Source organism: Homo sapiens, chromosome 12 (genome assembly GCF_000001405.40).
Source record: "Homo sapiens chromosome 12, GRCh38.p14 Primary Assembly".
NCBI classification, from domain to species: Eukaryota; Metazoa; Chordata; class Mammalia; order Primates; family Hominidae; genus Homo; species Homo sapiens.
Genome location: NC_000012.12, coordinates 46,375,229 through 46,388,443, shown reverse-complemented (window position 1 = coordinate 46,388,443; position 13,215 = coordinate 46,375,229). Strand labels below are relative to the sequence as shown.

General features: G+C 42.4%; 1 long non-coding RNA gene across 5 annotated transcripts in view, besides 4 other annotated features; it reads right to left on the bottom strand.

The window, feature by feature from the left end:
* Positions 1–4,768, bottom strand: part of SLC38A4-AS1 (SLC38A4 antisense RNA 1) — a 268,904-nt gene extending 264,136 nt beyond the window's left edge. For 3 of the 5 annotated variants that reach the window (NR_125378.1, NR_125379.1, NR_125377.1), the window contains exons 1-2: positions 4,731–4,768; positions 472–697 (exon numbers count right to left, since the gene is read on the bottom strand). This is a non-coding gene — a long non-coding RNA (SLC38A4 antisense RNA 1). Of the gene's footprint in view, positions 1–471; positions 698–4,282; positions 4,338–4,730 lie in introns of those variants that run through there. The other 2 variants (NR_125380.1, NR_125381.1) reach the window with 2 other exon arrangements.
* Positions 1,702–2,203: an enhancer, noted in NCBI's record as "NANOG hESC enhancer chr12:46780024-46780525 (GRCh37/hg19 assembly coordinates)". NCBI's record gives its function as "activates a minimal SCP1, AML or CMV promoter by ChIP-STARR-seq in primed H9 embryonic stem cells {active_cell/tissue: H9 hESC(primed)}" and the evidence as "EXISTENCE:reporter gene assay evidence [ECO:0000049][PMID:30033119]".
* Positions 4,763–4,832: a silencer, noted in NCBI's record as "silent region_4387". NCBI's record gives its function as "represses an Ori minimal core promoter by ATAC-STARR-seq in GM12878 lymphoblastoid cells {active_cell/tissue: GM12878}" and the evidence as "EXISTENCE:reporter gene assay evidence [ECO:0000049][PMID:35858748]".
* Positions 4,897–5,404: an enhancer, noted in NCBI's record as "NANOG-H3K27ac-H3K4me1 hESC enhancer chr12:46776823-46777330 (GRCh37/hg19 assembly coordinates)". NCBI's record gives its function as "activates a minimal SCP1, AML or CMV promoter by ChIP-STARR-seq in naive H9 embryonic stem cells {active_cell/tissue: H9 hESC(naive)}" and the evidence as "EXISTENCE:reporter gene assay evidence [ECO:0000049][PMID:30033119]".
* Positions 4,983–5,342: a silencer, noted in NCBI's record as "silent region_4386". NCBI's record gives its function as "represses an Ori minimal core promoter by ATAC-STARR-seq in GM12878 lymphoblastoid cells {active_cell/tissue: GM12878}" and the evidence as "EXISTENCE:reporter gene assay evidence [ECO:0000049][PMID:35858748]".

Below are 13,215 nucleotides of genomic sequence, written 5' to 3'. Positions count from 1 at the left end.
TGCACTTGGAGAAACATAGCTATTTTCACTTTTAAATGTCATTTATATTAGCATATTGTGAGTTGGTTATTACTTTTAAATACATTGACTATCTTTTAAGTTTTTAGTCTTAATTTCTACTATAAATATCAACACATATAGTCCACATAAACAAAACTCTTTGTGGTCCTCAATACTTTTTAAGACTGCAAGGGGGTCCTGAGACCAAAAGTTTGAGAATTGCTAATGTAGTAGTTAAGAGGACAAACTCCAGATCCAGCTGCCTGAGTTAAAATGTCACTTCTATCACTTAACAGTGGTGTGACATTGAGTACAGTCGCTTAGTCACACAGTTGTTCTGTGCCTCAGTTGGGGATAATAACGATAATAGTACTGACCCCATAGGGTCATCATAAGGCTTAAATGAACTGATATATGCACCATGCTTAGAAGTGTTGTGAGCCATCATTCTCTTTGGCGCTATTCACCTACCTCCATTCCCCGTGGTTTGCTTGGTTTGGTTTGATTTGGTCTGGTCTTACTACTGCTGCCTCTCCGTTTGACTGGCAAAGTGTGACTGGCACTGCTTCACCAGGGGCTAAAGGCATAGCTGACGAGGCTCCTTCATAACCACAGCCACAAGTTCGCACTCCAGTGCTGCAGCACCCAGCTGTACTTTGAATTTGCCCTTCAGAGAGGCTCCATCAGCAAAAGTCAACTGGAAAATCAAAGCAAGCAATGCTAAGTTTTTTAAAAACACGCTATGTCAGATGAATTAGAATGTAAAGTAGAAACTCTAGCCTTCGGAATAAATCAATGAGAGGAAGGAAGTAGAGACAAAATGCAAGCAATTACATTCATTCCTTAAAAGAAAAGGTGGTATCTGCCCAAGCTCCCTCCAATTTGAACTATGTTTTCACAGCCTTCCATCTCCTTTTTAAAATCTCTCTTCAACATCCCAGAGCAGCCTCCTCCCACCTGGCCAAGAACCCTCAGGCCATCAACTTGCTTAAAAAAATATGATGGCCCAGATTCTGATCACGTGCACATGACTGACGGCCATTGGATCTTCCCAGGGAGTACTGAAGTTTTATGAGTATTATGATCATAATCCCCTGCATTTATATTAGTTTTCTTTCTAATCTATATTTTCACATAAATTTTTCTTTAATTCTTGGCACTCAGCATGCTGTTATTCCTATTTAACGGTTTAAAAAACTGAGGCTCAGAGAAGCTAGCAAACTTGTCCTAAGTCCCAAAACTTTGAATCAACGGAACTGAAACTGGAGTATAAATGAAATGGGAAAATTTTTAACGACTGAAGGACTGGGGGAAATGCACACAGCAGGGAGGGGCAGGCATGCTGCGGGGAGGCGGAACTAAGCTATTTTTGTCAGGGGGTTACTTAAGCAAATCTGCTCTACTGTGGAAATAACCTCAACTAACTCCCCCTGAGTTTTACACAGCCTCTTTATTGCCTCCACAGCTCAAAACTATACATTCTCTAATTCTAAGACTTATTTTTATTATTTTTAAATACTAATTTGTTCATACAATGGATATCCAGGTGGTACTGTTCTTAAGAGGATTTTAAAGAAGGTACACCCAGTATGTTTTATATTTAACCTATGGCTGCTTCTCAAGAGTGTTTGTAAATTGAGAACTGTCTGTATTGCATGTGTGATGTCATTAAATATATATTTGGTCTGTCCAAAACTATCTGGCATTTGTCCTTTACCAACATTACTGAGTATTTTAGTTTCTCAATCATGCGAGCTTAAAAAGCACAGCCAAATCTAATGAATGTCAAACTTGTGTAGTGACTCAAGTTGATTTCAGTATGTTTAAACAGAAAAAAAAATAGAACTCACAAAGGATCAACTGGAATGAGTATTCACTTTAAAGGAATGCAAAAAGGAATCCTTTTGAACCATTCATTCTCCTGAATATGTTTAAATGTGCATTAATTTAGGTACAACTGCTAAGGAAAACTGTTTATCATATACGAAATATTTCCTCATTAAAAGTAATGGCAAAAACCGCAATTACTTTTGCACCAACCTAACAGCAGACACTTTGAATATGAGTGTAATGTTCTTTGTATGTAACAATGCTAATGCTAAGCTATCTCAAATATCTTCTTTTACCTGTTTTTTTTCCTTCGGTAACTTATCAGCCCTGTCCAATAACAGTTCCTACAATAATGGAACTATCTGTCAGTGCTGTCCATTTTTGAATGAATTAATAAAATTAATTTTATTTAAGTAGTCACATGTGGCTACTGAGCAATTAAAATGCCCTATTGAAGAACTTAATTGTCAATTTTATTAATTTTAATTCATTCAAATAGCCATGTGGCCAGTGGTTGTGTATTGGACAGAGCAGTTATAAGATCTCCTTCAGCCAAAAAAAAAAAAAAAAAAAAAAAACCTATGATTTTATCATTCTATCATTGTGAGGCCAGAATTAAGGCTGTAGTTATTAAACCTCTGATTATTAATTGGATGCTGAAATACAGTTAGCTAACTGAACACACAATTTTAAAGAGGCTGTTTTTGTTCTTAATAAACATCAAAAAAACTATTATGTGCAAAATAACATGTGGGTAAGTAGGATATACACAGACCAAGATTGAACAGACATTTCCTGACGGGGACATTGCTCTCCCAGTTTCTGCTAAATTCCAATTCAGTACATCCTAACAAGACATGGCTGATCAATTGTGTAAGCTCATGCTTTTAACAAGTATTGCTTAGCTCAATAACTCCCATAGCTCTAGGACAAACAACTGTCCTGAGCCCTGGGGACACGCTGTTGCACTCTGTTGAGCCTGACAGAATGCCTGCTCTTCCAGGCACTTACTCTCCTGGGAAGCACAGCCAGGTGAACAGGCCACGAGAATACACCGTGGTCAGTACCACTACAGGGGCAGACCTTGGGTGCCACACGAACACACAAAAGGAGCTTCTAACCCAGTCTTGGCTGGACAGGGAAGGTTTCAAGTGCAGAAAAGAAGGTTCCAGAAGGAAAAAACCAGTAGTATCTTGCTATCAAATCTATCCATTATTTAGGTTTCTTTGGGAAATTTCCTTTTCATTTGGCATTATGTCATCGTCCTTTCAAGGGTATTCACTTTTTGAATACATTTCAATCGATATATATTTATCGAACCCTGAAGACTAAAAAGCCTCATCGTCATTCTCCTGGAGGATTCACCATTTGCTCGGGGCTAAAGGTGTATGAAGACAAACCTTTCTCCTGAGAAAAAAAATGAGTTCTTAGGTCAAATATTTCAATAATCTACCCTTTAAGAAAAATGTAACACTGCCTTGGAATGCATGATTTCTTCATAAGACTTCCTTTTTACAATTGTGTGTGGCTTTCTACCCAAACTAACTTTAAACATCCCTCCACAATAAAATTCAGGAAGGCCACTTTAATAAAACGAGGGGGAAAATCCCACCAAAATGTAAACTTAATATTTCAACACAATTAAATTTATTAATAAAGAATTTCTATTGCATAGTGAACAAAGCATTGGATTTACCTGACAGTTTGGGGTCAAATTCCAGTTCCTCCTCTTAGAGAAGGAATGGCCTTGGGCGAGTTATCTAACTTCTCCAAGCATCAGTTTCCTCATTTGTAAAAGGTCAATAATGGGGTAAGAATAGCCCCTACCTCAGAGTTGATGAGAGAAATGAATATGCACACATTTACAAAGACCTTAAAGTAGTGCGTACCCTAAGCCTTATATGAAGATTATTATTCTTTCTAATTACAATAATTCTAATTGCAGAAATCTATGCGAAAACAATACACAGTTCTGGCCAAAAGAAGTTAAAACAAATGTGAAAAATAAGCGACATCCAGAAACTTCAGCAGCTCCCTTCTGTCCTATGCCTCAAGGTACCAGAGAGGGAAAAAGACCCCCAGGAGAGGCTGTGAGGAAACCTGAACTGCAAACCCACCACGATGTCTTCCTGGGAAAGGCAAGTTGGTAAAGAAAGATGTGAACTCTATTTCAGGGTAGTATGTTTTTTTCATTTGCTTCCAAGACTTTGATGGAATGACTTGAGAGGAAAAGTTCACAATTACTAGAAAGAACCTAAAAGGACATGAGAGATGAAACCGTTGCAGTATTTTTGAAATAAATGTTTTCCTGCAAGAGCAGAGTCATGGGCGGGGTGTCTGTGTAATATCTACTCAACACAGCCGAAGGGTAAGAGGAAATCTTGGTAAGCCGACTTCCAAGTCTTAATGGGGAACCATACGGAACCAACTGCACGCCAAATCCCACGCTCACCGAAGCTTCAGGGATTTTCTTGTGGGTCTGGGGGTTTAATCTGACAGCTCCTAGAGCCTTCAGGACTTCCCGGGCACAGATAATGGGCCGCGACTGCACCCCCGCGTCCCTCCTTGGGGCGCAGGCTTTCCACAGCTACAGTTCTCCACGTCAGCAGCCACGTACACAAGCGCCGGCAGCTGCCAACAGGGCGTGCCCGCTTCCAACCCTGCACTCTCCCAAGCAGGACATCCCTGCACCGCCCGGCGCGTTCGCGAAAACTCCGCGGGGCCTCGAGGCGTCCCGGGATTAGCCCTGACGCTGTAGGGCTCTCTAGGTTTTCCACGACGCAGGGGAGCGTAACTGGAGCGCACCCGACAGCCTCTCAGCTTGCCCAGGCTCGACTGGATGGGGCTTTGCTGGACCCCCGACCCGACCCCCACACACCCGGGCGGCGGGGCCCAGGTACCTGCCAACGCCTCCGCACCTCATCGTCCCCTCTGCTTCCCCTCCTCCCTCTCCCCGAACCCTTCCCCCCTCCTCCCCGCCTCCTCCCCGCCTCCTCTTCGCCTCCTCCTCCACCTTCTCCTCCCCCCGACCCCTGCTCCCACTCTTGGCTCCAAGTCCGCGCGCGGGCTGGGGAGGCGGTGCCGAATGAATCACCGTCACGTGGGTCGCGGGCGCGCAGAGGCGGGCTGCGCCCGGGCGGCTCTGGCGCTCGGAGCGTTAGTGGAAAATTTCCGGAGATCTACTGGGGCTGCGCGCCGCAGGCCCCGCCCGCCGCCTCCCCGCTCCTTCGTATCCCCACCTCCTTTTCCCCCTCCCTCCTCCTTTTCTCTCTTCCCCCGCCGTTTTCCGGTCGCAGCCGGGCCCCGACATTGCGGAGGTTCCTTTCTCTCCGGGGAGCGGCGCTGCGCACGCCCCGCCCGCTGCAGCGCCCCAGGCTGGCGCCGCCAGACCCCTTTGCCCTGGGGCCGCCAGCCCTCGCTTCCTTCGCGCGGCTCCAAGCCGCCACGCGGCCTTGCCCCCGACCTTGCGTGTAGCCTGCTGGTATCCTGAGAGGCCAGGAGCGGCGTCCTGGCGCCTCCGCCTTCGCCTCTGGGGCGCCGCACCCCCGCCACCTCCGTTCCGCATTGAGTGAGACCCCCCACATCTCCGGGCGGAATGTGAGACAAAGGGAGAAGACGGTGACGATGGGCGTCTTGTCTTCTCATTTAGAATTACTGCACCGCCGTTTAAACAAAGCACATGCAAGGCCAATTGTGTTTTACCCACTCCCACTTAACCACTGAGAAAATAAGCTATTTTCTCTATCCCATAACATTCTCCACTTCGTTTTCCCAACCACGAACAAAATTTATTCCTGAGACAGCAACTTTGAGGATTTCGTTGACCTCATCCATGTAGAAGTGACAAATGGTTACACAACAAAATTGTTTCACTCAAAGGGGGTTGTTGTGTACGTGGTTCACCTCAATAAAACACACATTTAACTGTTTCAGCAACTGTTTAGCCCTGGACTGTCGCCCGGGTTAATGTCGCTGAATGGGGTGGGGGGTTGAAAAGTGGCATTAGCGCCACGTGTCCCAAGACGAAGTGACATGGAACCGGAGGCAGGTGCCTTAATCAGTCACGAAGTGCCAACGATGTCAGTCAAAACAGTTGGGAGTTTTATTGAGTAAAGATCTCAGAACCAAGCCCATATATTAAATGGTTCCCATCTAAGAACCAGAATTGCAGGTGTGTTAATTTTAATAAATCGTTATTTCAGTATCTTAGCCCTGGGCAAAGAAAGATCCGGAAACTGACTGAAGGCCAGGAATGTAGGTTCATCGTGGCCTACGAGTGCTTTGGGTAGCACACCTTCTTTCAGTCACTGTCATTTCTCTTTAGACAAGAAGACCCCTAACAAGTATTAAAATAAAGGTATTTTTTAATGATCCTGTTTTGGAAAATTGTAAGGATCTGAAATTTTTAATTTTTTAAAACAATGGAGCACTTCAATAAAACTTCTATTTTCTTTACTAAGAATATACACAGCTTGTTTTTTAGCTTAATTCTTGATTGTTGCTGTGACCTTACCACATTCTGAATAACCTTAAGCATGTATATGAGAATCGTATCTGTGATTTTGCTTTCACATTTCACTTTCCAAGACACTTATTGGTAATTAGCAGGTGTCAGTTTACCTAGCCAAAGAACCATTGTCTATAAATCCTTCATCTCTCTGCCATTGTTTTCTTTCACATTCATTGGCATATACTACACCTAGCAAAATAGACCATTCCAGGGTCAAATGAAAAGGCCAACAGGTAAGTATCACAAGAAGGTCATTAGTCAAGCCGTTATTTCCCCTCTTTTATTTGGGAAGGAGATGGGAGAAACAGAGTTCTGATACTAGGTCCCTGGAAAGTTCTTCAGTCTTGACAGAATTGGGTATGTTTGTACTAAAGTATCTGTAAAACTAAATTTTTTTAAATTTTTTGTTGTTGTTTTGAGACGGAGTGTTGCTCTTGTCGCCCAGGCTGCGGTGCAATGACGCGATCTTGGCTCACTGCAACCTCCGCCTCCCAGGTTCAAGCAATTCTCCTGCCTTGGCCTCCCAAATAGCTGCGATTACAGGCGCCTGCCAGCACACCCAGCTAATTTTTGTATTTTTACTAGAGACGGGGTTTCACCATGTTGGCCAGGCTGGTCTCAAACTCCTGACCTCAGGTGATCCGCCTGCCTCGACCTCCCAAAGTGCTGGGATTACAGACATGAGCCATCGCGCCCAGCCATATTTCTAAATTTTTTTAAGACTGAGTTTCTGTGGGCCCCTTAATTTTCTTTTTCTTGCTGAAAAATGAGGTATGCATTTACAAAATACTGATGCTTGCAAATATATGGATTTACAATATAATATATTTTTTAGGCATTACTATGTTTTCCAGTCCTGGCCAGTGGGATCTGAGACAACAATAACAGCATTTCCAGGAAATGTTATCTCTCAAAATAAAATTAACTCACAAAATGACGCTCCTTTCTTTTGCAATGGATGTGGTCCTGTCTGCCTATGACCCCTAAAACCACTGCAGCCAACATGTGACCATGATGGGAGAGATCCCCAGCATGTTGAAGAAAGCAAAGTGAAAATATAATGAGCTCTTTGTCTTGGAGGGAGGTATCAGGGCCAAGAATTAACCCCAGAACTGTGCTCTCTACATACTTCTTATTATGTGAGATAGTGTCATTATTTAAGCCACTTTCAATTGCATATTGTGTTTATTGCCATAAAATGTTTTCTGGCTGGGCACAGTGGCTCATGCCTATAATCCCAGCACTTTGAGAAGCTGAGGTGGTGGATTGCTTGAGCCCAGGAGTTTGAGATCAGCCTGGGCAACTTGGCTGAAACCTGTCTCTACAAAAAATTAGCCTAGCCAGACGTGGTGGCCTGTGCCTATAGTCCCAGCTACCCAGGAGACTGAGGTGGGAGAATCACCTGAACCTGGGCTCTCTGATCACACTGCTGCATTCCAGCCTGGGCGACAGAGTGAGACCCTGTCTCAAAGTAAAATAAAAATAAATAAATAAATAAATAAATAAATAAATAAATAAATAAAATAAAATAATAAAATAAAAATATTCTTGCTGCTGACAACTTCTCTGTGGTAGCCAGCCTCCAAAATGGCCCCCAGTGATGCTTACCTCCTGGTATGCACTCCCTTGTGTAGTCCCCTTCTATGTTGAATCAGGGCTTGCCTTTGTGACTGATAGAATATGGTAGAAATGATAAAGTGTGACTTCCAAGGCTAGTTCATAAAGGCATTGCAGCTTCTGCCTTGCTCTTTCTTGCTAACTTGCTCTGGGATAAGCCAGCTGCCATGTCATGAAGACATTCAGTCAGGGTTGTGCAGACACCTTCTTGGAGAGGAAGCAACCAGCCAGCACCAACTTACCAACATGTGAATGACCTTGGAAGATCTTCCAGCCCCAGTCATGCCATCAGATGACTAGAGCCCTCTCACAGCTGACTGCAACCTCATTAAAGACTTAAAGCCAGAACACCCAACAGAGCTGCTCTTGAATTCCTGATTCATAGACACTTCGAGAGATAATAAATTATTGTTGCTTTCAGACACTAAGTCTTGGAATAATTTGTTACATAGCAATTGATATCTAATAGAGTATCTGTCAACACCAGAAAAACATGCCAAAGTCAGCAAAGCACTCCCAGAGTCCGTACTGTTGCTTTAGACTTGAGAGCTATCTTACAAGATTGAATACAACCGTTCATTTATCAAGCACTTTCTAAATATGATCCCAAGAATAATATATACAAAATGATAAAAAGAAAAAAAGAGTTGAGACAAGAATTTCCTCAGGCACCTGGAAAGATTAATATTAAAAATATGGAAATGCAACAACATGGATGAACCTCAAGAACATTATGCTAAGTGGAAAAAAGTCAGGCACAGAAAGACAAATCACATAATCTTATTTGTATGTGGAACCGGAAACACTCAAACTCATAGAAGTAAAGAATAGAATGATGGTTACCAAAGACTGAGGGAGTGGAGGGGAGGAGGTTTGGGGAAATGTTGGTCAAAAGATAACAAAATTTCAGTTAGATAGGAGGAATGAGTTCAAGAGCTCTATTGTACAACATGGTGACTATAGTTAATAACAATGTATTGTATTTTGAAAATTGCTAAGAAAATAGGTTTTAACTGTTCTCACCACAAAAAATCAGTATGTGAGGTAATGCCTATGTTATTTGGCTCGATTTAACCATTCCACAGTGTATACATATTTCAAAACATCGTGTTGTACATGATAGATACAATTTTTATTAGCCAATTTTAAACATTTAATTATTCTCCAGTCTTCACTATTTGAGGAAAAAAATTAAGTTAAATACATAAGAAGCTGGGCGCAGTGGCTCGTGCCTGTAATCCAGCACTTTGGGAGGCCAAGGCAGGCAGATCACGAGGTCAGGAGATTGAGACCATCCTGGCTAACACAGTGAAACCCCGTCTCTACTCAAAATACAAAAAATTAGCCGGGCGTGGTGGCGGTCACTTGTAGTGCCAGATACTCAGGAGGCTGAGGCAGGAGAACAGTGTGAACCTGGGAAGCAGAGCTTGCAGTGAGCCGAGATCGCGCCACTGCACTCCAGCCTGGGCGACAGAGTGAGACTCCGTCTCTTAAAAGAAAGAAAGAAAAAAAAAAAGCAGTAAGAAAATATGGAAGTCATTGGAATAAGGGGAAGGGTGTGGTTTGAAGGGAGATGGAGGAAAGAAAAAGTAATTTCACTATCTCTCCACAATGCCAGTGTTCATACTTGAATTTTGAATAACACTGTCCTAAGACAAAGGAGTGAGGCTGTGTGCATAGCAAAGGGGCATTTAATTAGGTGAAAAAAAGCCATTAGAAAGCAAGCCTTGGAATTCATCCTCATGCTTGTGTTTTACAAAAGACTGGGTCTGAAATGCCAGGCATGGTGGCGCATGTCTGTAATCCCAGCTGTAGGGAGGCTGAGGCACAAGAATAGCTTGAACCCAGGAGACAGAGGTTGCAGTGAGCCAAGATGGTGCCACTGCACTCCAGCCTGGGCAACAGAGTGAGAAAAGAAAGAAAGAGAGAAAGAGAAAAGAAAAGAGAAAGGGAAAGAAAAGAAAAGAAAAAAGAAAAAGGGAGGGAGGGAGGGAAGGAAAAGACAAGACAAGACTGGGTCTGAGAAAAAAAATACTGTCTTTTCTATCATCAAGGCATTGCAACAAATATGGATTCAGAGTTTATTTTGTGCTAGGCATTGAGGGAAAAAGTTGAAAGTACTAAATCAACAAGCACTTATTGAACACTTTTTATGTATCAGGCACTGTTTTAGGCACTGAAGATTCATTTAATAATGAGCCAAACCAGTCTTTTCCTCATGGAGTTAATGTTGCAGAAGATCATAAGCAAACAAACAAATAATGTGTTTTCACACATTGCACTAAAAAATAAAATAGGACAGTGGGGAATGGAGCTTGAGTCCAAGGAGCAACTTTTGCTGGAATGGCCAAAGAAGATTTTTTTGAGTCAGTAACATTTAAGATAAGATCTAAATGATAAGAAGGGAGCTGCATAAAGATACAGTAGTTCTCCCTTATCTGCTTGAAATACATTTCAAGACCCTCAGTGGATGCCTAAAACTGCGGATAGTACCAAACCCTTTATGTACTGTTTTTTCAATCCGATTACCAATATGGCTACTAAATGACTCACAGAGAATGGACTGTGTGTGAGCACCACGAATGGAAACCCACACATGAGTTAGGCTATGATTCAGGAGATGTCTTGAGAGAGATGATAGTCTCACTAGGGCCAGAGCAATGCAGATGGTGAGAAGCAACAGAATTCTGAATATATGTGGAGGCAGAGCCCTCATGACTTGGTGATGGGTTGGTTATTTGAGGAAAAGGAGGACTCAACATGGTTCCTTGGTTTGGGGCCTGAGCTCCCTTATGAATCATGGTGTTATTCTGACTTGGAAAGGTTCGAGGAAAAATAGTTTTGATAGAGAAATCAAGAGTTCTGCTTTAGGCAGTAAGGGATAGGATAGATGCCCTTTAAACATAACATATAATAGGTTTCTCTTGGTTCTTGAGAAACTCAAAACTATTTACCCTGTATTTATTCATTCAGCACATGTATTGTCAGGAGCTATTTCAGGTGCTGGAACTAGCAGTGATCAAAGCTGATTAAATCCCTGCCCTTGTGCACTTACGTTCTAGTGAGGGAGACAAACAATGAAAAAGTAAATAAATAAACATATTTAACATAATTTCAGGTGGTGATAAGTACTATAAAGAAAAAAGTATTTAATTCATTTATATATTCAAAAAGTGCCTTATTTTTACAAGTAACTGGACTGGGTGTAATTAGCAAGAGGCTGCCCTGCAAAGACACTAACATCAAATCTAATATGTAGACAACAGGAAAAGAAGTGTCACCAAAAAAAAAGGATATTTATAAAGCACTAAGTTGAAAGTAAAGTGAGATCGGTTTCAAATGGGATCACCAAATAAAGAGGAGCTGATACAAGTTGTGATATTTAAGCTGGGCTTCAAAGGAAGGATATAATTTAAATATATAGTGGCAGGGAAGAGGAGGTATGAAGAACATTCCGAGTAGCAGAAATGGTTTAAATGGAAAACAGTTTATATTGAGAACACTGAGCAACATATATTGGCAAAAGCATAGGGTATATGAAGGGGAATATATTGGTTATCTATGGCTGAGTAATAAAATGTGCCAAAATGTAGTGGCTTAAAACAATAAACATTTGTTATCACTTGTTTCTGTGGGTCAGAAATCTGGGCTGAGCTTATCTGGTCCTCTGGCTAAGGTATTAGCTGGGACTACAGTCATCTCAAAGTTCAAATGGGTGGAATCTGCTTCCACACTTACTCATATGACTATTGGCAGGCCACAGGTTCTACCTGGTAGTTGCCAGAAACACCCATTCCTTGACATGTGGGCCTCTCCATAGGACAGCTCGCAAGATGGCAGCTTGTTTCCTTCAAAGCAGATGAAGGAGTGAACCAGAGAAAGTGAACAAGAGAACAAGATAGAAGCCACAGTCCTTTTTTTTCTTTTTTTTTTGAAGGAGTTTCGCTCTTGTTGCCCAGGCTGGAGTGAAATGGCGTGAACTCGGCTCACCGCAATCTCCGCCTCCCAGGTTCGAGCCATTTTCCTGCCTCAGCCTCCCGAGTAGCTGGGATTACAGGCATGCACCACCATGCCCAGCTAATTTTTGTATTTTTAGTAGAGACGGGATTTCGTCATGTTGGTCAGGCTGGTCTCAAGCTCCTGACCTCAGGTGATCCACCCTCTTCGGCCTCCCAAATTGCTGGGATTACAGGCATGAGCCACCACGCCCAGTCTGTCTTTTTGTAACCTAGCCTCAGAAGTGACATGCCATCACTTTTGCCACATAGAAGTGCATCACTAGGTCCAGCCCATATTCAAGGAGAGGGGATTACAAATATGTATGAATACCAGCAGGTGGTGATTTATTGGGGCCTATCCTAGAAGCTGCCTACCACAAGGAATAATGGGAAATAAGATTGGAAATATGGGCTGGGACAGATAAAAGAAAGCCATAGAAGCTAATCTGCGAATGAAACTATACAGTTGGAAATGGAGGGTAGAGAAAAGCAAATTTTATGTGTAAGCCCACTTTTGGCAAATTGTAGTGCTGGATAAATAGAATTTTGAGGGTCATCTTAAAAACCAGTTGTTTAACAACAAGTAGAAAATGTCAACCAATGACAGCTTCCAGGAAACAGAACCACTCTATTTTATCAGGAAATAATGGTCAAAAAATTGTACAGAACATAGCTACCTACCTTCAATAAATAGTTCTAACAATCTATCCTGACAATGCATTCCTGAAAATCCAGAATTGATAACTGATTTTTGTGACAGTTTTTCTGTCTTAGGATAGGAAATAAGATTCAATTTCAGTAGCTTTCAAAATTCTTTGACCCCCCCCCAAACCACAGCAAGACATACATTTTACATCAGCAGTCCCCAACCTTTTGGCACCAGGGACCAGTCTTGTGGAAGACAATTTTTCCACAAAAAAATTGGGGGAGATGGTTTCAGGATGAAACTGTCCTACCTCAGATTGTCAGGCATTAGTTAGATTCTCATAAGAAGTATGCAACCTAGATCCCTCACATGTGCAGTTCACAATAGGGTTCGTGCCCCTATGAGAATCTAATGCCACCACTGATCAGGCCAAATGCTGGCTGAACTGCCACTCACCTCCTGCTGTGCAGCCCAGTTCCTAACAGGCTTCAGACTGGTACCAGTCTGCTGCCCAGGGGTTGGGGACCCCTGTTTTACATCACAACTCATAATACACACACACATATATATACAGACACACATAATCACATATATGTATACATATGTATACATAT